Below are 24,515 nucleotides of genomic sequence, written 5' to 3' on the forward strand. Positions count from 1 at the left end.
GGGGAATCAGAGGGGTGCGTTGTGAAATGAGTAAGTCGATAATCAACAATCAATGAACAGGTTTAGAAGCGGGCAGAGGCGGGAGGGTTCAGGTCAATGGGGTGCACCTGGAGGCCCACCCATCCCAGGGGCCTGGGCAGGGGCGGGATGGGGGCAGAAGCGGACTCAGCGCTCTGTAGGGCTGGTTTTGTGGAGGCGGAGGCAGCCCATGGCAGTCAGGCCTAGGGAGGTGGGGGGTGAGCAAAGGGGGCTGGCGCTGCTCTGCAGCGGATGGGTTTGCCGTTTTCGGTTAGGAAAATGTTTGTGTTCCCCCAACAGGAGGTGTCTTAGGGGAGCACTGGCTTTTCTGATGCGTCTGTGTGTCCACAAGAGACCATGGTTCCGCCTCCATTTTGGAGACCGGGAGGCCGAGGTTCCTTTTGGCCTCATCGGGCAGATCCCAGAGGAGACTGGACTTTGGGGTCTAGTGACCAGGCCAGAAGGTGCTCTCAGGGGTGGGTGCGGGACAGTCCCAGGCCGCAAGGCTGTCAGAGGAAGGCGCCCCTTGGTGGAGAGGCCAACTCTGGGACCCACAGGGGTCTCTCCAGAGTCAGAGCCATCAGTGGGTGAGAGGCTGGTCTGGAAGGTGGTGAGCTCCCCATCACCAGGCCTGTGAGCAGGTGAACCCCTTGGGCCCTCAGCTCCTGGGGTTCTCCATGACCCACCATTTCCATGGCCCTGGATGAGGTGGGCCCATCTGCCTCTGCGGAGACTTGGCACTGCCTCCAAGACCACTCAGTCCCCTCTCCTGTTGCCACTGAGGCTGGGGCACTGAGGTTCAAGCGGCTTTGGGGCTCAAGGAGCTCTATTTCTCCCTGATTTGACCCCACTCCCCCTCCTGGCCTCCAGACCCCTTCCTCCAGCCCTCCTTCCACTCTGCCACTCAATGCTCCAACTGCAACATGGGCCTCCCCTGCTCTAACGCCACCCATGGCTCCCTTCTCCCAGGCCAAGGTCCAGCTTCTCAGCCTGGCATCCATGGCCCGGCCTGAGTGCTCCTGGCGTGCACCTCCCTCCCACCCTGACCCCAGCCCTGCGGGAGCACCTCAGAGCATGGCCCGGCCCCTGACCCTCATCTGGGGGTGCCCTCAGCAGGAGATGGAGACAGCCCTGAGGGCAGACAAATCCCAGCTTCTGCTCTACATGGCTGCCTGCAGGGAAGTGCCTTCTCAAGCATCGGTTCCCCCATCTGTGAGTGACGTCACTGTTGCCCGCCTGTAGGGTTGCTGGGAACACATGGGCAGGGCGCCCACCTACACGGGGCTGCTGGGCACCCAAGCACTCAGACGGCAGCCCTGCCCCTTCCCAGTCCGCCTGCCTGCCTTCGTCTCCTGAGTGACCCACCAGCGTGGGGCAGGGCGTCGGGCCGGCTCCCTGTCTCCTCCGGGCACCAGCTCAGGCCGGGGCAGGCTGACTCATGCGTAGGAGAGTGGGCAGGGCGGTAACTCCACGCTGCGGCTGCTATTTATAGCTCCCAGGCCAGGCTGTGGGCCGCGTGAGCCGGCGAGGCCAGGCCCTGTTCCCCTCCTCGCTGTCCCTGAGGAACGGGGTCTCCACACATGGCCCGCGGTGCCCAGGCCACAGATGGCAGTGAGCTCTTCCGAGCACCCAAACTAGGACAGCAGGAGCTTCTCCCCCATGGTGGGCCGGGGAGCAGAGGGTTCCGCCTGGCCTTTGTGAGTGGGGGTGGGTGGGCGCCCCAGCTCTGCCTCTCCATGGAAAGGTCCGTGATCCAAATCTCAGGGGCCAGGGCACTTGCACACTGGGGCACTGAGCAAGCCGGGGCTGGCACTGGAGTTTCCTGGGTTCCCTGCTGCCTCTCATACCCGAGTCCCTCTTTGGAGAGTCCCTCGGCATCCTGAGAGGCACAGAGGTGGGCGAGGAGGACTGAGGCCGGCTGCATCTTTGCCAAAGAGAAGAGGACCTGTCAACCTCTCCAGCTCGCGAGCTGGGCAGGATCCACAGGCGTCCACGTTGAGTCCCCAGGGTGAAACCCACCGGGGCAGTCTGCATGGGTCCTGCAAACACAAAGTGCCAGTGTAGTGGGTGCTGGGCCCTCAGCAGTCTGTACAAGGCCACTGTCCCTGCTCCCATCTGGAAACTGCTGCTCAGAGAAGGGAAGCGGCTCGCCCACGGTGGCCTAGTGGGAAAGAGGTCGGTCCGGATCCATCAGGCTCTGAAGCCATAGCCCAGCCTGCTGGGGATAGACGGCCACCCCCTTGTGATCCTCTTGCCCTGTCCCTGGCTATCTGCAGTCTTGTCCTGGGGACACTCGGCCGGTCCTGCCTTACAGATCTCCTTTCAGCAGAACAGCAAGGGACGGCGTTCATCTGCAATGTCCAGCTCCTCCCCCGGCCCTGCAGCTCCACGACCGCTCTCCTCACCCTGCTGCCCTGACCAGGGCCACGTGGGCCTCACTGAGCCCCGGCTAGCCTTTGGAGAGGAGGGCAGTGGGGTCCGGCCTCAGCTCTCTTCAGTGGTCTCTGGACCATGTGGGCAAAGCCGAGGTTGCACATCCTGGCCTCAGGGGGCAGAGTCACCCCAGGGGCTCAGCCACACAGTTGCTTTTCAAGTTTAGCATCTGTCAATCAATCAGTCAATCAATCTACCACCTATCTATCTATCATCTATCAATCATCTATCTGTCATCTATCAATTAATCTATCAATCATCATTTATTAATCATTTACCTATTATCTATCAATCATCTGTCACCTGTTCATCTATTATCTATTAATCATCTACTTATCTATCTATCTATCGAGACAGGGTCTCACTCCGCCACCTAAGCTGGAGTGCGTGGTGAGGTCGCAGATCACTGCAGCCTTGACTTTCTGGGCTCGAGCAATCCTTCCTCCTCAGCCGCCTGAGTAGCTGGGACTACAGGCACACACCACCAGGCCCGGCTAATTTTAAAAAATTTTTCTCGGCCGGGCACGATGGCTCATGCCTGTAATCCCTGCACTTTGGGAGGCTGAGGTGGGTGGATCACACGAGGTCAGGAGTTCAAGACCAGCCTGGCCAACATGGTAAAACCCCGTCTCTACTAAAATTATAAAAAATGAGCCCAATGTGGTGACATGCACCTGTAATCCCAGCTACTTGGGAGGCTGAGGCAGGATAATCACTTGAACTTGGGAGGCGGAGGTTGCAGTGAGCTGAGATCACACCACTGTACTCCAGCCTGGGCAACAGAGCAAGACTCTGACTTAAAAAAAAAAAAAATTCTCGAGACCATCCTGGCTAACAAGGTGAAACCCCGTCTCTACTAAAAATACAAAAAATTAGCCGGGCGCGGTGGCGGGCGCCTGTAGTCCCAGCTACTCGGGAGGCTGAGGCAGGAGAATGGCGTGAACCCGGGAAGCGGAGCTTGCAGTGAGCCGAGATTGCGCCACTGCAGTCCGCAGTCCGGCCTGGGCGACAGAGCGAGACTCCGTCTCAAAAAAAAAAAAAAAAAAAAAAAAAAAAAATTCTGGGCTGGGCGCAGTGGCTTACGCCTGTAATCCCAGCACTTTGGGAGGCTGAGGTGGGCAGATCATGAGGTCAGGAGTTTGAGACCAGCCTAACCAATATGGTGAAACCCCGTCTCTACTAAAAATACAAAAATTAGCCAGGAGTGGTGGCAGGCGCCTGTAAACCCAGCTACTCAGGAGGCCCAGGCAGGAGAATCGCTTGAACCCAGGAGGCACAGGTCACAGTGAGCCGAGATCGTGCTATTGTACTCCAGCCTGGGCGACAGAGCAAGACTCTGTCCCAAAAGAAAAAAAAAATTCTGTAGAGATAAGGTCTTACTATACTGCCCAGGCTGGTGGCATCAATATTTTAAAATACAGAGACCATTTGTCAAAAACCAGTTTGCCTTCAAAGATGAACAGGCTGACATCCCCAAGCCCATTTCTTTTTCGTTTGTTTGTTTGTTTTTGCCCTTTGGCATCTGCAGAGCTGCTCGCCGCTGCTCCCCCAGCCCCCAGGCCACCATGGAAGACCCACGCCTCACGCTGCCTGGCCCCTAGAGTCAGCATTGGGTTCCTCTCTAACATCAGGGGGCTATGATTTTTTGTGTTTGTTTTTAGACAGAGTCTCGCTCTGTCACCCAGACTGGAGTGCAGTGGTGTGATCTTGGCTCACTGCAACCTCCACCTCCCGGGTTCAAGCAACTCCCCTGCCTCAGCCTCCCAAGTAGCTGGGATTACAGGCGCCCACCGCCACACCCGGCTAATTTTTATACTTTTAGTAGAGATGGAGTTTCACCATGTTGCCCAGGCTGGTCTGGAACTCCTGACCTCAGGTGATCCGTCCGCCTCGGCCTCCCAAAGAGCTGGGATGACAGGCGTGAGCCACCGCGCCTGGCCAGGGTGCTGTTTCATCACCACCTCTAAGGAGTGGGGTTACTGAATCTTTAGCATTGGCAGGATAAACTCCGGTAACGCCTGGGTCTTCTTAGAGAGAAGAAGCCACTCTGATCATCAGAGAAAAAAGGCTGAGAACTACAGAGGCCCCAGGGCCTTTGCACATGCTGCTGCCTCAGCCAGATGAGCTCTCTCTCCCCCATCTCCTTCTCACTCACTTCCTCCAGTCCCCCTCACGTCACCCCAGAGACTGCTCCTGAGGAGACCACAGAACTAAAATCATCTCCTTTTGCTGTCTCTCACCGTGTCCTGATTCTTTTCAGGGCCTTTATTGCTACCTGGTACCGCCTAACATGCTGGCGTCGGCTCCCTCTCCAGAATGTGAGCCGCCTTAGTTCTGGGGCAGCAGTTCCCACGGGGGGGGGGGGGGGGGTGATTGTGTCCCAAGGGGAGACTGGGCACTAGATGGGAACGTCTGTGGTTCTCACAGCTGTGGGTGCACCTGGCATGGAGTGGGTGGAGGCCAGGGATACTGCTCAGCACCCTGCAGTGCCCAGGACAGCCCCGCCCCAGAGAACTATCTGGCCCCAGTGTCCACAGTGCCCACAGGGAGAGACCCTGGAGGGGTCCATGGGTCTCAAACTTTGCCCACCCCAGCATGGCCAGCGTTGCCTGGGAACTCGGTGGCATGCAAGTTCTCAGGCCTCACCCCAGAGCCAGGGCTGCAGCTCAGCTTCCCACAAGGCACAGGATGGCCCCAGATGTCCACAAAGCCCAGGCACAGAAGCCTGTTCTGGGGGCCAGCTCATCTAGCCTGAGTCTGGCTGGACCTCCACTAGCTGAGACGGAAGCCCAGCCAGCCCGCTCACCTCTTCCTGGAGAAGCCCGACGCAGCGCCCGCCACTCCCTCCCCTCCGTGTGCAGCTCCCCGGCTCTAAAGCACTCACTTGTCTAACCCGATTCTCACCCTACAAGACCGCAACCGGCCATCACTTCTGCCCTCCGCCAGGACACCGAGGCCAGCTGTGTCACTGCCCCGAGGGGTTGCAGGTGCAGAGCCGCAGAGGCCTGAGGGGTGGCAGGGAGAGAGGTGGGGGCATCTTCCCACTCCAGCCCCGTCTGGCCTCAGCACCTGACAGCCAGGAGAAGAGTTCTGGGGTCTTCCAGACAAGCCCCCACGTCCTGCAGCAGCCTGTGCTCCCTCGAAAGGGAGATGACTCCTCTACCTTCAGGAGCCTCCGCCTCCTTCCCACCTGCAGGGGGACCCTGGAAAGGCTGGGGCAGCCTCCGAGCATCGAGGTGAAGGCCGAGGAGTCTTTATTGGTGACAGGCTGCTCACCGGCTGTCCCAAAAGCAGACACAGCTCAGGGCACAAGCTGCGTGCAGGCTGGCGGCTGGAACAGGTGGGAGGCAGCCCCCTCTCTTCCCGGTGGGGCAGAGGGTCCAGAGCTGCTGGCCAGGACAGTCTGATGGTGCCAAGGGCTGGGAGACACCGTCCCATCCACCACCGACCTCCCCGTCCCGCCCCGAGCTAATAACTTGTGCAACAGAAATGCAGACAACAGACACGTAGGGCCAACAGGCTGTTATTACGGCTGACTCAACCCCGCAGGCCTGGGCGCTGCCTCATCATTTTCTCCCCTTTTGTCTCCGGATCCAGGTGAGGGAATCCAGTGATGCCATCCAGCTGTCCATGCTGAGAACCCAACGAGGGGCTTCCTTCCCGCTGGAGCCCACGCCTGCGCCCAGCGGGGACCCCGAGCTCAAGTCCCGGAGTTAATTCTCCAGCTTGCAGAGCTGAGAGACGCCCCCATCCTGGCCCACTCTCTCTGCCCCAATAGAAAAACCTGGACCCACCTGGGGTCTAGGCAAGGCTGCTGGGTCTGTTTCCGGTGGGGCAGCAGCTGAGCCTGACCTGGGTCCCTCCCGCCTGTGACCTGCCTGGTCATAGACAAGAGAAGCCCCTGGCCAGGCACTGGCCTAGGGGTGGCCGTGACCCAGCCAGGAGTGCTGCATTCGGACGAAGATGGCACTGGGTGCTCTGCGCTTGGAGTTTTGGTTTTTTGTGTGTGTTTTTGAGACCAAGTCTTGCTCTGTCGCCCAGGCTGGAGTGCAGTAGTGCAATCTCGGCTCACTGCAACCTCTGCCTCCCGGGTTCAAGCGATTCTCCTGCCTCGGCCTCCCAAGTTGCTGGGATTACAGGCACCTGCGTCCACACCCAGCTAATTTTTGTATTTTTAGTAGAGACGGGGTTTCGCCATGTTAGTCAGGCTGGTCTCCAACTTGTGGGCTCAAGTAATCTGCCCGCCTCAGCCTCCCAAAGTGCTGGGATTATAGGCGTGAGCCCCTGCTCCGGGCCGGAGTTTTGTTTTTTAAACAGGAAGCTGTCTTGTGTTATCCAGGAACAATCTGTCCAAGCTATTCCCGGTCTCTACCAGCGCATGAAACGGTTGGCAGGTGCCCCCTCTCCTCCCTGTGTCTCTCTCATGAACAGGTGGTTGACATAGACCACCATCACCTGTCCTGGGTCTTCTGTGAGTTGGGCTGGGTGTCTCCCCCTGGGCCCTGTGGACATTGGGACTGAACCGTTCTCAAGGGTGGGGCCGTCCTGGGCACTGCAGGGTGCCGAGCAGCATCCCTGGCCTCCACCCACTCCATGCCAGGAGCTCCCCTAGTCAAGACAACCACAGATGTCCCCAGACATGGCCCGGTGTCCCCTGGGGGCAGAAGATCCCCGGCTGGGAGTCACAGAGTCAGTAAAAGAGACCCCCAAGGAGGAGGACCCTTGGCTTCTGCAGGTCACGTGACATTTCTGTGACTCAAAGTTGTGTAGAGATGGAGGCGGCCATGTGCAGCTGGAGCTGGCCTGCTCTGCAGTGTCGTGACGTCGTTTTGAGGCAGGAGTAGTCTGTGGCTGCAGGCAGTGACAAACCCAGGCTTCCTCAAGCAGTGGCTCCTAGCATTGGGTGACAGTGTGTCTGTGGGCAGAGCCAGAGGAGACAGAGTCGCTGGGCTGCCTCACAGGAGCCTGGTCTAGGCCGGACCCGGCCGCCGTCGGCCAAGGGACCTTGGGAATGAGCCCTGCGCCTCTGGACTCTATATCGGATGGGCGAGACGACCACTCCACGTCTTTACCCCAACATGGACATGTGCTGGGTTCCTCCTCAAAAGCGGGTAAAGCCCCCAGGCGCGGTGGCTCACGCCTGTAATCCCAGCACTGTGGGAGGCTGAGGTGGGTAGATCACCTGAGCTCAAGAGTTTGAGACCAGCCTGACCAACACGGTGAAACCCCGTCTCTACTAAAAATACAAAATTAGCCGAGCGTGGTGCCGGGCACCTATGGTCCCTGCTACTCAGGAGGCCGAGGCAGGAGAATCACTTGAATCCGGGAGCAGAGGTTGCAGTGAGCCGAGATCATGCCACTGCACTCCAGCCTGGGAGACAGAGCGAAACTCCATCTCAAAAAAAAAAAAAAAAAAGTGGGCCGGGCACAGTGGCTCACACGTGTAATCCCAGCACTTTGGGAGGCCGAGGCCAGCGGATCACAAGGTCAGGAGTTCGAGACCAACCTGGCCACCATGGTGAAACCCCGTCTCTACTAAAAATACAAAAATTAGCTGGCCGTGGTGGTGCGCGCCTGTAATCCCAGCTACTTGGGAGGCTGAGGCAGGAGAATTGTTTGAAGCCGGGAGGTGGAGATTGCAGTAAGCCGAGATCGCGCCACTGCACTCCAGCCTGGGCGACAGAGCGAGGCTCTATCTCAAAAAAGAAAAAAGAGTGGTGACAGCCGACCAAAAGTGGCTCAAGAGACATCCTTCTGCCTTAGGGTCCCGCTGGCCCCAGGAAAGCTCCTTTCGTGCCTCCTGAGGACTCTGGGACGGAGAGGTCTGGAGGCCACAGCCAGCTCGCCCCCGCCCCCGCCTACGTCCTGCTTTCTGGCCGCTGCCTCTGGTCTGCTGCAGTCAAAGGAGCAGGGCCAGCCCTGAGCTCCCACCCAGCGCCAGTGGGGGACAACGTGGTGTCAGAGGCTCCTCTAGAGGGAAGGCGAAGAAGCCGCTTGGGATCCTTGGGGTGGGGTGGCTGGGCCTGCAGGGGTCGACAGCTTGGGTCCCTCGGGCCACCCTGGGGAGCTGATGGCTGGTGGAGGGTAGGGCCCCACTTTGTGCTTCCTGCTGTGATGGGCGAAGGTGGATGGGGATCCCTGGAGCAGCCGGTGCTCCGCCCCATGTGGGCTCCTGCGGGATTCGGGGGACAGGGACTCTGAGCCTTCCCATGTGGGGGGCCTGGATGTCTCTATCCCCTGGCAGTCACGAAAACTCAAGCCACATCCCCCACCAGTGCAGGGACCCAGTGGCTTCACAACCCACCCACCTGGGATAAAGGACAAATGGCCCAGGTGGGGTGAAGCCAGGGGAGGGACGGGCAGAACCACGTCAGGTTCAGGACACTGCGAAGCTCCTATACCCCTGGGGCCAGGGCCAGGCTGCACAGGGTTCAGAGATGGATCCCCGGTAAGAGGTTCAGACACAGGTTCCCAGAACAGGCCCCAAGCTTCCAACAGCAGTGGGGTAAGGACCTCCTGGAGTGGAAGTTGGGGGGTCTCAGGAGCAGAGGCTGAACCCCGGGTTACTTATAGACCCCCTAAAGTGGAAGTTGGGGGGTCTCAGGAGCAGGGGCTGAACCCCAGGTTACTTACAGACCCCCTGGAGTGGAAGTTGGGGGGTCTCAGGAGCAGAGGTGGAACCCTGGGTTACGTACCGACCTCCTGGAGTGGAAGTTGGGGGGGGTCTCAGGAGCAGAGGCTGAACCCCAGGTTACTTACAGACCCCCTGAAGTGGAAGTTGGCGGGGGGTCTCAGGAGCAGAGGCTGAACCCCAGGGTACTTACAGACCCCCTGGAGTGGAAGTTGGGGGGTCTCAGGAGCAGAGGCTGAACCCCGGGTTACGTACCAACCCCCTGGAGTGGAAGTTGGGGGGGGGTCTCAGGAGCAGAGGTGGAACCCCGGGTTACGTACCGACCCCCTGGAGTGGAAGTTACTTACAGGGGCTGTGTGACTACTCCGGCCTCCTGGGACCCCCATGGCAATGCTCCAGGCAGCCACCGCCCTCTCGAGGTCGTCCCTTCCTGTGACTGGCACCTGGGAGCTGAGCTGGCTGCAGCAGGGCCACCGGCCGGGACACCCCACAGAGCAGTCACTGGCTGGCCCTGGAGCTCCCCATCTGACTAGATTGATGGACTGATGGATAGGAGGCCCCGCCAGGCCCAAGCCCACAGGCCAGATGGGCACCTCTCCGTGCAGCCCCCCCCAGTCAGCCTTGTGGGTAGGTGTAGGGAGGCGTGGTGGCGAGGCAGGGCACGGGATGGGAGAAGGGTACCTGGGGCCTGGCACTCAAAGATGAGTGACGAGGTGGGAGGTGGGGACAGCCAGAGGCCCTCACAGCCCTGATGGGGCTGGAAGACGCCAAGGCCCAGAGATGGGGTCCGGGGCTCCAGGTCAGATCAAGGAAAAACCCAGCCCAGGCGGGCATGCCCGGCTCCCTTCCGCGGCGCCACAGCGGCTTCGAGCCAGGCAGAGCAAAATCCCCGAGGAAAGGCGTCCCTCCCCAGCTCTCACCTCCCCAGACCCGGCAGGGTTGCCGGGACGACGGCTCAGGCCTTCCGGAGGTTGCCACAGAGCCAGGAGCCCAGGGCTGCCCCAGCCCACGCCCGGCTGCTCGTCCCCCGTGCTCCTGCCCTCTCGGGAGCAGCGTCCCTGTGTCCACGGGAGGGATCGCACCGCGGGGCCCCTGCCCCACCGCTAGTGGGGTCCATCTTCCTCTGGAGACCCCGGTGTGTGTAAGCAGAGCTGAGGACTGATCTTTAAGCTGCCTCCTGGCCCTGCTCGTGAGTCTCAGGAAACTGTGACACTCACCTGGCCCGGGGGTCCTGGCCCAGGGGTCCCCGCTCCAGGAGCCACCCAGCAAAGGGAAAAGGAGAGGGCACTCCTGAGGGTACATGGCCCACTCACAGGGGGTACAGCCTTGTGTGGCAGGAGGGACGGAGCCCGGCTGTCCCATCGCAGTGACTCCAACCTCTAATAAGCCTCAAGACACTCGGGGCTCGGGCGGCGAGATCCTGGCAACAGAGTAGGGTAGACGTTGGGGCCTCAGGGCCCCCAGCTGGCTCCTGAGGCACAGGCGGCGCGGCCCTCACTCTGGCCACAGCAGCCAAATGCTCCCGTCCTTATTCACAGGCTGGGGGTGTGCGGCAGGGAGAGGAGGGTCCTGACCGATCTCACCGGGACCCAGGTCCTGGCCCTCCCGCCCGTGGGTTGCCACACCCCACGGCCCGAGGTTGACATGGCCACACAGCTTTGGTAAAGACTTTTAAGAGAAAGAAGTATTTTAAAAAGTAGCAGTGCTCTGAGGCTCAGGGTGTAGGATCGGGGGCACAGCCTGGTCCCGGGAGGCCCCTTGTGCACAGGTGGTGGCCCAGGGCCACAGTGCTCGCTCTTGGGGGACGCGCGGCCGGGGGACGCGGCCTGTGTCCGGCCCGGGGCTCCCGGCGGGCTCCGGCGGCAGGGACAATGGCGAGGCCGCTCACCACTTGAGGAAGACCATCCCGGCCAGGACGGTGTAGCCCAGCACCAGGAAGAGGACCTTGAGCAGACGGTCACTCTTCTCCTCCAGCTCCTTGGCCAGGATCTCCAGGAAGGTGATGAAGAGGAAGGTGCCGCCCGCCAGGCCCTGCAGCAGCACGGACGCCACGCTGCCCGGCACGCCCTGGGCGCTCTCAATGCCCAGGCCCAGGCCGATGCCCAGGGGGATCATGGCGCTTACGGTGACCGCCAGCTTGGCCGCGTCCCGCAGGGGCATGGCACTCCGGGCCATGCTGATGCCCAGGGCCACGGCCACCAGTGTCTCGTGGACGGCCACCCCCACGAACAGGCTCACCACTTTCTCCCCCTCCTCCTGCAGGCCCAGGGCCAGGCCCTCAAAGACCGAGTGGGCCGACAGCGCGAAGGCCAGGCTGAGCAGGCGCACGGGGCTGGCGCGCGAGAGGCCCTGCACGCTCAGGCTGGGGCCGTGGCCGTGGGGCTCCACGTACAGCGCGTGGCCCCGCGCGCCCCCCATGAAGGGGCTCTCATACTCCGAGTCGCTGCCCACGTCCGATCCGGCGTTGAAGGTCTCCAGGTCGATGAAGGACGGCTTCTCCTTGCGGAAGGTCAGGATCAGCTGCTCCAGGAAGACGGTCATGAAGAAGCCCAGCAGGAGGATGGTTTCGGCCAGCGGGTAGTCGGTGCTGATGTGGCCGAGGCTCAGGACCTTCTGGAGCTGCAGCCGGGGACACCCGAGAGAGAGAGAGAGACCCACGCTCAGGGGTGGCGGCGACAGGGCTGGCCAGATGTCACCGTTCAAAGCAAAGTCCAGAAATCCCCGATTCACACAGAGGTTAAAACAAGTGGGAGAGGAAGGGCTCGCCTGTGATGAATTAACACCACCACCACCAGCCAAGCGCGGTGGCTCATGCCTGTGACCCCAGCATTTTGGGAGACTGAGGCTGGCGGATTGCTTGAGCCCAGGAGTTCGAGACCAGCCTGGCCAATATGGGGAAACATGTTTCTACTAAAAATACAAAAATTAGCTGGGCATGGTGGCGAGCACCTGTAATCCCAGCTACTCAGGAGGCTGAGGCAGGAGAATGGCTTGAACCCAGGAGGCAGAGGTTGCAGTGAGACGAGATCGTGCCACTGCACTCCAGCCTGGGCGACAGAGGGAGACTCCGGCTCAAAATAAACACATAAAGAGCTGCACTGGCCTTGCGTGTTCTGCCGCGGGGCCTCCTCTCTGCTTCCCTGACCGACATGCCTGGGCCCGACTCTCCTCCTGGTCAGGGCTCTCCTAGCGAGGGGAGACTTTGGTGGGGAGAAACTAGACGTGGGTCAGACGGGAGCCGCAGGGCGTCTGCAAGAGGTACACACTCCTATGGGAGGGACAGCTGCTCACGGGGCGGACACGCAGGCATTAGGCTATGCGCCAGGATGAAATGTCTCATGAAAGGCAGGCTGTAAACGCCCACAACAGCTCCCTGGAGCCTCGTCACGGCAGGGCCAGAGTTCACAGCCACCCTCCAGAGAGACCTCGAGACCAAAGTGGAGGAAAATCACAACACAATCGACACTCAACAATGCCTGCTTCCCTGCTTCCTTCCCAGCGGAGACTTCATTACAACCTGCGCACGTGCACACACACACACACACACGCATATGTGCACACACGCACGCACACACACGCGCACACGCAGGTGCACACACAAGCACGCGCACACAGTGGTTCTCAACCAGGGCGATTCTGCCCGTGTGGACACCTGGCAATGTCTGGAAACATTTTTTATTTTCACAACTCGGGTAGGGGGAAGGTGCTGACATTCGGGGCTGGATTGTTCTCTGGGACGGGGCCGTCCTGGGCACTGCAGGGTGCTGCTGAGCAGTGTCTCTGGCCTCCACCCACTCCAGGCCAGGAGCACCCCCCATCGTGACAACCACAATGTCCCCAGGCATCGCCCAGTGTTCCCTGGGGGCAGTTCACGCTGGGTGAGCCTCTGCTGCAGCAGAAGGCTGTGTTTCCACGGAGAAGCCACTTAACTCCCTCACTGACCACCGGCTGGAGGCCTCATGCATGCCTCGCTTGAGGACAAGCTCATGAGGAACTCTAGCTACTCCCAAGAGACAGACGTTGATCAGGAGAGATGAGGCAGATGCACGGGAGCTGTGAACCAGGCACCATTTTCCAGGGGTGACTGAGAGCCTGGCCCTGCAGTGGGTGAGGCTGGGGGCTCGGGAGTAGGGACCTCATCCGCCTGACCAGCCCGAGGACAGGAGAACGGCGGGAAAGGTTTGGGTGCCATGAGAAGGCCACTGTGATGAGGGGGAGGGAAGAGCAAGCTCCCCGCAGTCGCCCAGGCCTGCAGTCAGAGGGTGACGGGGGTGACACCATGACCATGGGGGAAAAGGGGGGCTGGCAGTGGCCTCTGCGATGCAGGAGATGTCAGAGATGACCAAGATCTCCATCCTCGCAGTGCAGATGTCAGTCTTCACACACCGCGTAACGAACGAATGCAGACTCAGCCACGCGGAACAGCAGGAATGCGGTGTCTCGGCTCTGAACGGTGGAAATCCAGGTGCGGGCTAGCTGGGCCCTACGCTCCAGGTCTCGCAGGGTGTCATCAGGGCTGAGATCTCACTGACACCCAGGGTCCTCTTCCAAGCTCACTGGAGGTCGGAAGAGTCCACCTCCTGGTGGCTGTGGACTGAGGCCCCGTGTCCTGGCTGGCTGTTGGCGGGGATGGCTCTTGGCACCGAGAGGCTGCCCTCGGGTCCTCGCTTCATGCCCTTCTCCTGGCACACCCTGGCTTTTTGCTTCTCCAAGGCCAGCAGGAGGGTGAGTGGCTCACCTGATTAGGCCAGGCCCACCCCCTCCCTTTTGATGAACTCAGCGCTAACCGATCTGGGGCGGTCATCACAGCTGCAACATCCCCTCTGCTGGGATTCTGACATAATGGCAGGAGTGACACGCACGGCAGTCCCAGCCCTACCCACACTCGAGGGGAGGGAAGAGCATGGGGCGTGCGGAGCAGGGGCTGGAAGCTCAGGGAGCCACCCTGGAACTCTACTCTGCCACACTAACAGGCTCAGATGATTTAATCCCAGACAACAGCCCTTCTCCTCCTTTCTGGACACTAGGCACGAGGAAAAGCAGGGCCAGGGGTTGGGGGATAAGCTTAGGGCTTCCATGCTTTCGTTGGGAGGAAGAACAGGGGGTCCTCATATCTCCACCAAGTATGTAACCAACACAAATTCAATGTCACATCTGGCACTGGCCCAGAGAGAGGAAGCCACTCACCCAGGGTCACCCAGCAAGCATGGCCAGGGCTGGTCACACTGTGGCCTGACAGGGGACCCACACTCTGGGCTGCTGATATGGGGGAGCTCAAGGAACAGGTCAGCAGAGGATGATGCTGTCAGGAGTTGGGGTGGACAGACTCCAAGATGGCCCCAGAAGCCCCTGCCTCTTGACAGCCATACCCTGTGAGGTCCTGGCCACTTGAGTATGGGAAGGACTTGAACTTGCTTCTAACCAGCAGGACACTGGGGCAGAGGGGAAGGGATACCCTGTCACCTCTGCATGACATGGGACTGTGCCCTCTGTCTTACACAGAGTCATGGCCATCTTCTCCATTTGCTGATGAAGGAACTGATCATGCTGGGGAGGTCCACGTGGCCAGGCTCTGAGGGCTGCCCCAGCCAACAGACACTGACAAACAGACACCTTCGGTCTGACAACCAATGAGGAACTGAACCTGGCTTACAACCACATGAGCTTAGAGGCCGACCCATCCCCGGTTGAACGTTGAGATGAGACCACAGCCCAGGAGACACTGTGACTGCTGCCTTGTGAGCTCCTGAAGCAGTGCCCAGACCCCTGACTCACAGAAACTGTGAGATGATAAACGTCTGTAGTCCTAAGGTGCTCAGTTTGCTATAATTTGTTACGCAACAGTAGCTGACTGATATAGGAACCGAAGAGAGGCCATGCTTTCCAGCTTCAGGACAGAGTGTGCCCTACCTAGGTGGGTAGTCTGGTCTGATTATCAGGTGACAACCGACAAGTCCACCTGTTGGGAATCCCAGGTCTGGTCCAAACCCCTTGTTTGGCCGGTAGAGCACAGAGACAGAAAGTAACCAGTTCACAATCACACAGCAAATTCACTTCCTACTTTCCGTCACCCTTACAGCATCAAGGCCTTCACTGAACTTGGCATCAGTGTTGAAAATGCATCAGAGTCCCTTGGCCATAAGGTGCCAAGGGCTGCTGCTAGTGCCCAGGGAGCCCTTACCTTTTCCCTCACAGCGGGCAGCAGAGCGTTGAAGCACGTGGCCAGAAACACCCCTCCTCCAAAGGTGTTGCAGAGAGAGAGGATCTTTTTCGAGCGATGGGCCTTCTCAAAATCTGTCTCGATGATCTTCACGGGGAGCAGGGAGCCGAGCAGCATGAAGAAGAACACGCCCACCATGCACAGGATTTTGGCCACTAGCAATTTCACCATGGTGGCGGCTTGGGCTGCTCTGGTCACTGCAGGGCCAAACCATCTGTGGGCGCACACCCAAGTCCCACGATGTGCTACCGAGCCCAACCACACAGTTGGAGGCTCATGTCTCAGTCCAGCAACTGTGAACATCAGGGGCACTGCATTAGCTTTCTTTCTTTTTTCTTTTTTTTTTTTTAGACAGAGTCTCGCTCTGTTGCCAGGCTGGAGTGCAATGGTGCAATCTCCGCTCACTGCAACCTCCGCTTCCTGGATTCAAGCAATTCTCCTGCCTAGTAGCTGGGATTACAGACACGCGCCACCACTCCCAGCTAATTTTTTTTGTATTTGTAGTAGAGACGAGGTTTCATCATGTTGGCCAGGCTGGTCTCGAACTCCTGACCTCGTGATCCGCCTGCCTCGGCCTCCCAAAGTGCTAGGATTATAGGCGTGAGCCACTGCACCTGGCCAGTTCTTCAGTTTTGGAACTCGGACTGGCTCTCTTTGCTCCTCAATCTGCAGACAATGTATTGTGAGACCCTGTAATCGTGTGCAATTAATACTTAATAAACTTCCCTTTATATATATAACTATTCCATTAGTTCTGTCCCTCTAGAGAACCCTGACTAATACACTGTCTCAAAAAAAGAAAAAAGTTCATCAAAATTAAAAAAAATCCAGGCTGGGTGTAGTGGCTCACACCTGCAATCCCAGAACTTTGGGAGGCCGAGGTGGGTGGATCACCTGAGGTCAGGAATTCGAGACCAGCCTGGACAACATGGTGAAACGCCGTCTCTACCAAAAATACAAAAATTAGCCGGCCGTGGTGGCAGGCACCTGTAATCCCAGCTACTCTGGAGGCTGAGGCAAGAGAATCGCTTGAACCCAGGAGGCAGAGGTTGCAGTGAGCCAAGATGGCACCACCGCACTCCAGGCTGGGCAACAAGAGCAAAACTCCATCTCAAAAAAAAAAAAAAAAAAAAACTAAATAAAATACAAAATTCCGCTCCTCAGTCTCCCTGGCCATATTTCAAGCGCTCAGTAGTCACACAAGCCTACTTGACTTCTGTGGTTACCGTATTTGACAGCAAAGGGAACACTCTCATCACTGCAGAACATGCTATTGGATGGTGGTGGTCCATGGCTTCCCCATGCCCCGAAATAAAGTCTAAACTCTGTACCCTGAGGCTGAAGCTCTGCATGACAAGCTCCTGCCTCGCCTCGGCCCTCACTGGTCCTTTCTGTGCCAAGCTTGCTCGTGCCTCAGGACCTCTGCATGGGTTCTCCTCTCTCCACCTGGAACACTGCTCTCTTTCCCCTGACCTTCCAGCGAGGCCTCCTTCTTCTTTCTTGCTTCTCTGCATCCAGGACCCCTCAAAAGGGCCTCCCTCGGTTGGGAGTGGTGGCTCACACCTGTAATCTCAGCACTTTGGGAGGCTGAGGTGGGCAGATCACCTGAGGTCGAGAGTTCGAGACCAGCACCTGAGGTCGAGAGTTCAAGACCAGCCTGGCCAACACAGTGAAACACTGTCTCTACTAAAAATACAAAAATTAGCTGGGTGTGGTAGTGGGCACCTGTAATCCCAGCTACTTGGGAGGCTGAGGCAGGAGAATCACTTGAACCCAGGAGGTGGAGGTTGCAGTGAGCCAAGATCAAGCCATTGCACTCCAGCCTGGGTGACAGAGTAAGACTCTGTCTCAAAAAAAAAAAAAATTAGCTGGGCATGGTGGTACGTGCCTGTAATCCCAGTTACTCGGGAGGCTGAGGCAGGAGAATTGCTTCAACCCAGGAGGTGGAGCTTGCAGTGAGCCGAGATCGCGCCATTGTACTCCAGCCTGGGCTGCAGAGCAAGACTCCGTCTCAAAAAAAAAAAAAAAAAAAAAAAAAGGGCCTCCCTCTCTGCCCCTGGCTGACTCCTGCCCTAAACCATATCCCTGTACCCGCCGGAAGGCCTGCTGCAGAACAGATACTCAAAAACCGCTGGCTGAACACATGGACGAGGGGAAGCGTGTGGCCACTGATAAGGGCCGCATTTTACCTGATGCAATGGGCCAAAGTGAAGTCGGTTTCACCCTGGACCCCAAAATGTCACCGTTCTTAGGAGGAATCTCAGCTCCTCCCCTGTCCTTGAGTTTTCCCCAACTGGGTTTTCTCCCCCACCATCAGCCCCAAGCGCCTCATGGCCCCGCTACCTCACTGCATTCAGGTCTTCGGGTCACTGCTCAGATGTCTCCACTCAGAGCTCTCCCCGCCCCCTTCCCTGGTGTTATTTTCTTTTATTTTGTGCTACAGAGGGAGCTAGGAATTACATTATTTTAAGTCATTTAAAGTCGTCCCTCCCCCCCGGCGGTGAGCTGGGCGGGACCAGGCTGTCTGTCTTGCTCAGGGCCAGCTGCACCCAGCGCAGAGCCACCCAGGCACACAGTAGGCGCCCAATAAAGACCTGTCCGGCATCTGGATACCTCAGTCTGTACAGTGAAGGTGAGGGTGGCCTGCACGCTCTCAAACCGGAGGCTGCTCGGGCCGGGATGAGGAGGGCACGGGCTCATTCATTCAATCAGCACTTATTGAGCGCCTTCTGTGTGCCTCGCGCTACCGGGCACCGGAGACGGGCCTCGGCTAACGTGCGGGTAGAGTCCAACAGACCCCCGGCCGCTCAGCGCCGCCCCGCCCCGCCGCCCCAGGTCCTCTCTCTGCCCGCACCTACCTCCCGGGGGCCCCTCGTCCGCCGACTGGCGCCGCTGCACGCCCAACGGCCGCGCAGTCTCGACCCCACAGACGCGGCCCGGAGAGGCCCCGCTCGGCGCGGCTGGTCCACGCCCCGCCCACGCCCCTGCCCATTGGCCTCCCCGAGACCCGCTGGCAGAACTTTCCATACTATTGGCTGCGAAACCTGCCACTCATATGCGACTCCACCTCTCCTACCGGCACAGGAAAGGGGTTTCCTCCCGCTGAGCGGCGGGCGCAGCCACCAAGCGGCCCCGGCGGGAAACCCGGATTGGCGAGGAACGGTTCCGGCAGGGTTGGGTTTCCAGAGCTGTCCAGGGGCGCCTGGTGCTGAATCCCGCTTGGAAAGAGGCTTGGAGGTGGATGGGAAGGGATTTCCAACGGAGGCGGCTCCTCTCTCAGCGTCCTCGCTGCTGATCCCCTTACCGACGGCTGAAGAAGCAGATTCATCCCTTCAACAAATCTCTGTTGATAGGCAGGAGGAGTAAGTCCAAGAGATCGACTGTACATCATGGTGGCTACAGCTCGTAACAATGCATTGCATACTGCAAAATTGCTAAGAAAGTAGATGTTACATGTTCAAACCATGAAAAAATAAGTATAGGAGGTAACGCGTAAGTTAAAAACCAAATCTTGGCAGGGCGCAGTGGCTCACACTTGTAATCTCAGCACTTTAAGAGACCGAGGCGGGAGGATCGCTTGAGTCCAGGAGTTCAAGGCCAGCCTGGGCAGCATAGTGAGACCCCATCTCTAAAAAAAAAAAAAAGGTTTTTTTTGAGACAGAGTCTCGCTCTTGTCACTCAGGCTGGAGTGCAATGGCGCGATCTTGGCTCACTGCAACTTCCGACTCCCGTGTTCAAGCGATTCTCCTGCCTCAGCCTCCCGAGTAGCTGGGATTATAGGCGTGTGCCACTATGCCGGCTAATTTTTGTGTTTTTAGTAGAGACGGGGTTTCACCATGTTGGCCAGGCTGGTCTTGAACTCCTGACCTCAGGTGATCCTCTTACCTTGGCCTCCCAAAGTGCTGGGATTACAGGCATGAGCCACTGCGCTTGGCCTGATGACTTGATTCTAACAAATAGAAAATGGCAAATGAATGGGATGTCATTCTGCGATTAGGCTATGAGAGATTGTGACTTCTGTTTTGCCAGCAGAGCCTGTCTCTCGCCTTCTCAGCCTACGTGTCTTGACAAAGCAAGCTAAGATGCTGGAGAGATCCAGAGGGAAAGGAACTGAGGGTGTCCTCCAGCCAACAGTCAGCAAGGCAATGAGACCCTCAGCACAAGCGTCCATAAGGAACCAAATGCTACCAACAGCCATGAACGTGATCATGGAAGAGGGTCCTGCCCCAGTTGAGCCTTTGGATGACTGCTTCACTTCAATTGCAGCCTTTGAAACACCCTAAAACAGGGCTGCATGTGGTAGCTCATGCCTATAATCCCAGCACTTTGGAAGGCCGAGGTAGGCAGGTCACTTAAAGTCAGGAGTTTGAGACTAGCCTGGCCAACACGGCAAAACCCCATCTCTACTAAAAATACCAAAATTAGCCAGGCATGGTGGCGGGCACCTGTAGTCCCAGCTACTAAGGAGGCTGAGGCATCAGAATCACTTGGACCCAGGAGGCAGAGGTGACAGCGAGCTGAAATCATTACCATTACACTCCAGCCTGGGCAACAGAGTGAGACCCTGTCTCAAAAGAAAAAAAAAGAAGAAGAAGAAGAAGAAAGAAAGAAAAACAAAGACCCTGAAAACAGAAGACCCATATGAACTGCATCTGAATTCCTCACCCACAGAAACTGAGATAACACATGCTGTTCTAGCCACTTAGTTTTGTGTTTGTTTGCTTGTATTTTGAGACAGGGTCCTGCCCCATCACCCAGGCTGGAGTGCAGTGGTGCAATCACAGCTCACTGCAGCCATGACCTCCTGGGCTCAAGCAGTCCTCCCACCTCAGCCTCCCGAGTAGCTGGGAGCATGTGCCACCATGCCCAGCTAATTTTTTACCTAATGTCACACAGGCCAGTCTTGAACTCCTGGATTCAGGAAACCCTCCCACCTCAGCCTCCCAAAGTGCTGAGATTACAGGCATGAGCCACAATGCCTGCTGGCACTAAGTTTGGGGGAAAATTTGTCATATGGCAGTAGGTAACTAATACACATACATACTAGAAAAACTATAGGTTGTACTAAGTTCTGTGAAGAAAGAATGAGAGAGACTTCTGTGCAGGAATTAGCCAAGTCAAATGTACTGAGAAGGCCAGGTGTGGTGGCTCACACCTATAATCCCAGCACTTTGGGAGGCTGAGGTGGGTGGATCACTTGAGGTCAGGAGTTCAAGACCAGCCTGGCCAACATGGTGAAACCCTGTCTGTACCAAAAATATAAAAATTAGCAGGGCGTGGTGGTGGGCGCCTGTAATCCCAGCTACTCGGGAGGCTGAGGTAGGAGAATCGCTTGAACCTGTGAGGTGGAGGTCGCAGTGAACCGAGATCATGCCACTGCACTCCAGCCTGGGCGACAGAGCAAGACTCCGTCTCAAAAAAAAAAAAAAAAAAGAAAAAAAAGTACTGAGAAGTGGGGAGAGAAGAGAGGATAGTTGACAAAAAGATGGAGAAGGGCTTGCTGCATTTGAGGAGTTGGAAAGCCAGCCTGGCTGAATGTTCGTGAGCAGTAGGGAGATGGGAGATTAGGGACAGTCCCATAGACCGTGCTATGGAACTTGGATTTTACCGTAATTACAGTGTGATTCATTGAAGGATTTTAAGTAGGTGAAGGTTGTCATCTAATTTTAATTCTTAAGATTATTTTGACTCGTGTGTAAAGAAAGGCTGAATTATAGAGAAGCAAGAATGGAAGCAGGGAGACTACTTCAGAGCCCTCTGGGCAAGAGTTGGGCTGGGTGCCTTGGCGCACACCTGTAATCCTAGCACATTGGGAAGCCATTGCAGGAAGATCGCTTGAGCCCAGGAGTTCGAGACCAGCCTGGGCAACATAGTGAGACCCTATCTCTATTTCTAAGAAAAGACTTGACGGTAGTTTAGCTGAGGGCATTGACAGGAGAAAGGACAGTGGGTGAATTTGAGAAATATTTTGGAGGGTGAATTGACAGGACTTAGCACTGGTTTGTCTGTGTGGGTTGCAGGAGAAGGAGGTGTTGGGGGTGACTTCTGGTTTTCTGCTTTGAGCCATCCGATGGATTCTGGTGCTCACTAAAATAGGAAAGACTGGAGGAGGCACAGAGATTGAAAGCGTCAAAAGACAGAGTTCAGTTTCACAGAGGCTATAAATGAGACATCTACAAGTTCTTAGCATTTAATGCCATTTTCTGCCTGCGTGGCGCTGATGTCATCATGTGGAACACACTGTTTCTGGTAGCTATTTTTATTATTAGATGCAGAGTGATCTGACTCTGTTTCTGCTTTCCATAACTCACGACAAGAAAAAGATGGCTTGTAACATAAGCACACCAGGTAGACGCCACAGGACGACTCCTTCCTAAGGGGAATTCATAGCATGCGATATTTATTCATAATTGTTTGGAGAATCAGCCTGCTCAGGGAAAGAGCTACGTAAGCTTTGGGCTTTGATTCATTCAGTACGTGTTTTTGAAAACCTCCTGTGCACCAGAAGCCATGTAGGAGCAGATGTCTTCAGAGCGCAACAGAAAAAAAATACTAATAAAATATAAAATAACATAAAAGCAGCACAGTGGTGCATACCTATAATCCCAGCACTTTGGGAGGCTGAGGTAGGAGGATCTCTTGAGCCCAGGAGTTGGAGACAAGCCTGGGCAAGATGATGAGACCCTATCTCTATAAAAAAAAAATACTGACAAATTGACTGACTTCAGTATTTCAAAAATCTTCCATAGTAAAAAACACCATGAATGGGCTTAATAGACAAGTGACAGACTGGGAGAAAAATGTTGATACTATATGAGACAGAGCCCTTGATAGAAAATAGAAAATAAACATCTTAAAATAAAAATAGGAAGGGTGATGAATGAGCAATTCACAGGGGAACCAATATAAGAGGTGAATAAATATAAGAAAAGAGTCTCAATCCATGAAGATAATCATGAAAATACAAAATAAAACAAGGGGCCAGGCACGGTGGCTCACACCTATAATCCCAGTACTTTGGGAGGCTGAGGCAAGAGGATAACTTGAGCCCTGGAGTTCAAGACCAGCCTGAGCAACATAGTGAAACCCTGTCTCTTCAAAAGAAAAAAATAAAAAATAAAAAATAAATTAATCACCCAGGTGTGGTGACACATGCCTGTCACCCCAGCTACTGGGAGGAGGGAGGATTGCTTGAGCCCAGGAGATCAAGGCCACAGTGAGCTATGATCATGCCACTGACCTCCAGCCTGGGCAACAGAGCAAGTCCCTGTCTCAAAAACCCAAAACAAACAAACAACAACATCAAAACAACAACAAAAACGGCTGGGCAAGGTGGCTCACGCCTGTAATCTCAGTGCTGTAGGAGGCCAAGGCAGGCGGATCACTTGAGGTCAGGAGTTTGAGACCAGCCTGACCAACGTGGTAAAACCCTGTCTCTACTAAAAATACAAAAATTAGCTGTACCTGTAATACCAGCTAGGTGGGAGAATCACTTGAACCCAGGGGGCAGAGGTTGCAGTGAGCTGAGATTGGTCCACTGCACTCCAGTCTGGCAACAAGAGCAAAACTCCACTTCAAAAACAAAAACAAAAAAAACAGAGAAAAAATTGAAAAAATCTGAATGTAGACTGTTTATTAAATAATCATGTCAATATTCAGTAATGTTTAATTTCCTGAATTTAACAATTATACTGTATTTATGTAATAGAATGTCCTTGTTCTTAGGAGATACAAAATACATGATGTCTGGAACTTTCATTTGAATTGTTCGGCAAAAAAATAATAATTATTATACATATACACACACATAAGAAGAGAAAAAAGGAAATTTGGTAAAATGTGAAGAATAAGTGAATCTAGGTGAAGAGCATAAGAAAATTCACTGAAAGCCGGGCGCAGTGGCTCACGCCTATCATCCCAGGGAGGCCGAGGGGGGTGGATCACCTGAGGTCAGGGGTTCAAGCCCAGCCTGGGCAACGTGGAGAAACCCCGTCTGTACTAAAAATACAAAAATTAGCCAGGCGTGGTGGCATGCACCTGTAATCCCAGCTACTCAGGAGGCTGAGGCAGGAGAATCACTGAACCTGGGAGGCGGAGGTTGTGGTGAGCTGAGATCACGCCATTGTACTCCAGCCTGGGCAACAAGAGCAAACTCCATCTCCAGAAAAAAAGAAAGAAAAGAAGGAAGGAAGGAAGGAAATTCATTGAAATATAAACGTGGATTTTTTGTTTTGGTTTGGTTTGGTTTTTGGTTTTTGGGGGCTTTTTTTGGAGACGGAGTCTCACTCTTATTGCCCAGGCTGGAGTGCAGTGGTGCAGTCTTGGCTCACTGCAACCTCCACTTCCCAGGTTCAAGTGATTCTCGTGCCTCAGTCTCCCAAGTATCTGGGACTACAGGTGCCTACCACCATGCCCTGCTAATTTTTTGTATTTTTAGTAGAAACAGGATTTCTCCATATTGGCCAGGCTGGTCTCGAACTCCTGACCTCAAGTGATCCGCCCGCCTCAGCCTCCCAAAGTGCTGGGATGACAGGCATGAGCCACCGCATCCGGCCTCACATGACATTTCATTATCACATCTTCTTAGGCTCCTCCTGGCTGTCACAGTTTCTCAGATGTTCCTTGTTTCTCATGATCTGGACAGTTTTGAGGAGGACGGGTCAGATATTTTGTGGAATATTTCTTGACTGGGGTTTCCTGATAGTTTTCTCATCGTTGGACTAGAGCTGTGTTTCTGTTGTTTGTTTTTGAGGAAGACTATAGAAGTGAGAGGCCATCCCCATCACATCACATCATAGCAAAGCCCATGCAGTCAACATGACTTACCACTGTTGACACTGACTGGGTCACCTGGCTGACATAGTAGTTGTCAGGTTTTTCTACTGTAAAGATCCTTATTCTTTTTTTGTTTTCTTTTTTTTTTTTTTTTTTTTGAGATGGAGTCTCCCTCTGTAGCCCAGGCTGGAGTTCAATGGCATGATCTCAGCTCACTGCAACCTCCACCTCCCTGGTTCAAGCAATTCTCCTGCCTCAGTCTCCCAAGTAGATGGGATTATAGGCGCCCGCCACCATGCCTGGCTACTTTTCGTATTTTTAGTAGAGATGGGGTTTCACCATGTTGGCCAGGCTGGAGTTTTACCGTGTCGCTTAGGCTGGTGTTGAACTCCTGGTCTCAAGTGATCGTCCTGACTCAGCCTCTGAAAGTGCTGAGAT

The 24,515-nt window shown here is 55.9% G+C and overlaps 1 protein-coding gene across 2 annotated transcripts, besides 8 other annotated features; it reads right to left on the reverse strand.

Annotated features, from left to right (window-relative positions):
- Positions 1,793 to 2,705: an enhancer, noted in NCBI's record as "H3K4me1 hESC enhancer chr19:2723575-2724487 (GRCh37/hg19 assembly coordinates)". NCBI's record gives its function as "activates a minimal SCP1, AML or CMV promoter by ChIP-STARR-seq in naive H9 embryonic stem cells {active_cell/tissue: H9 hESC(naive)}" and the evidence as "EXISTENCE:reporter gene assay evidence [ECO:0000049][PMID:30033119]".
- Positions 5,406 to 5,465: an enhancer, noted in NCBI's record as "active region_13715". NCBI's record gives its function as "activates an Ori minimal core promoter by ATAC-STARR-seq in GM12878 lymphoblastoid cells {active_cell/tissue: GM12878}" and the evidence as "EXISTENCE:reporter gene assay evidence [ECO:0000049][PMID:35858748]".
- SLC39A3 (solute carrier family 39 member 3) lies at positions 10,740 to 18,292 on the reverse strand. Of its 2 annotated transcripts, NM_144564.5 has the most exons (3): positions 18,161 to 18,233; positions 15,264 to 15,595; positions 10,740 to 11,701 (listed from the first exon to the last, which is right to left on the reverse strand). In NM_144564.5, the coding sequence occupies exons 2-3, from the start codon at positions 15,471 to 15,473 to the stop codon at positions 10,967 to 10,969; spliced, it is 945 nt and encodes a 314-aa protein (NP_653165.2). In that variant the 5' UTR covers positions 15,474 to 15,595; positions 18,161 to 18,233; the 3' UTR covers positions 10,740 to 10,966. The 2 variants fall into 2 exon arrangements, with proteins under 2 accessions (NP_653165.2, NP_998733.1); NM_213568.2 differs by lacking the exon at positions 10,740 to 11,701 and having other exon boundaries at positions 12,742 to 15,595; positions 18,161 to 18,292.
- Positions 13,086 to 13,586: an enhancer, noted in NCBI's record as "H3K4me1 hESC enhancer chr19:2734868-2735368 (GRCh37/hg19 assembly coordinates)". NCBI's record gives its function as "activates a minimal SCP1, AML or CMV promoter by ChIP-STARR-seq in primed H9 embryonic stem cells {active_cell/tissue: H9 hESC(primed)}" and the evidence as "EXISTENCE:reporter gene assay evidence [ECO:0000049][PMID:30033119]".
- Positions 13,587 to 14,087: an enhancer, noted in NCBI's record as "H3K4me1 hESC enhancer chr19:2735369-2735869 (GRCh37/hg19 assembly coordinates)". NCBI's record gives its function as "activates a minimal SCP1, AML or CMV promoter by ChIP-STARR-seq in naive H9 embryonic stem cells {active_cell/tissue: H9 hESC(naive)}" and the evidence as "EXISTENCE:reporter gene assay evidence [ECO:0000049][PMID:30033119]".
- Positions 17,329 to 17,596: a silencer, noted in NCBI's record as "fragment chr19:2739111-2739378 (GRCh37/hg19 assembly coordinates)". NCBI's record gives its function as "represses an EF-1alpha promoter that drives an FKBP-Casp9 reporter gene in an ReSE screen in HepG2 liver carcinoma cells {active_cell/tissue: HepG2}" and the evidence as "EXISTENCE:reporter gene assay evidence [ECO:0000049][PMID:32094911]".
- Positions 17,715 to 17,764: an enhancer, noted in NCBI's record as "active region_13716". NCBI's record gives its function as "activates an Ori minimal core promoter by ATAC-STARR-seq in GM12878 lymphoblastoid cells {active_cell/tissue: GM12878}" and the evidence as "EXISTENCE:reporter gene assay evidence [ECO:0000049][PMID:35858748]".
- Positions 18,005 to 18,404: a silencer, noted in NCBI's record as "silent region_9805". NCBI's record gives its function as "represses an Ori minimal core promoter by ATAC-STARR-seq in GM12878 lymphoblastoid cells {active_cell/tissue: GM12878}" and the evidence as "EXISTENCE:reporter gene assay evidence [ECO:0000049][PMID:35858748]".
- Positions 18,465 to 18,514: an enhancer, noted in NCBI's record as "active region_13717". NCBI's record gives its function as "activates an Ori minimal core promoter by ATAC-STARR-seq in GM12878 lymphoblastoid cells {active_cell/tissue: GM12878}" and the evidence as "EXISTENCE:reporter gene assay evidence [ECO:0000049][PMID:35858748]".

The sequence above is a fragment of the Homo sapiens genome, chromosome 19, assembly GCF_000001405.40.
Source record: "Homo sapiens chromosome 19, GRCh38.p14 Primary Assembly".
Lineage (NCBI taxonomy): Eukaryota > Metazoa > Chordata > Mammalia > Primates > Hominidae > Homo > Homo sapiens.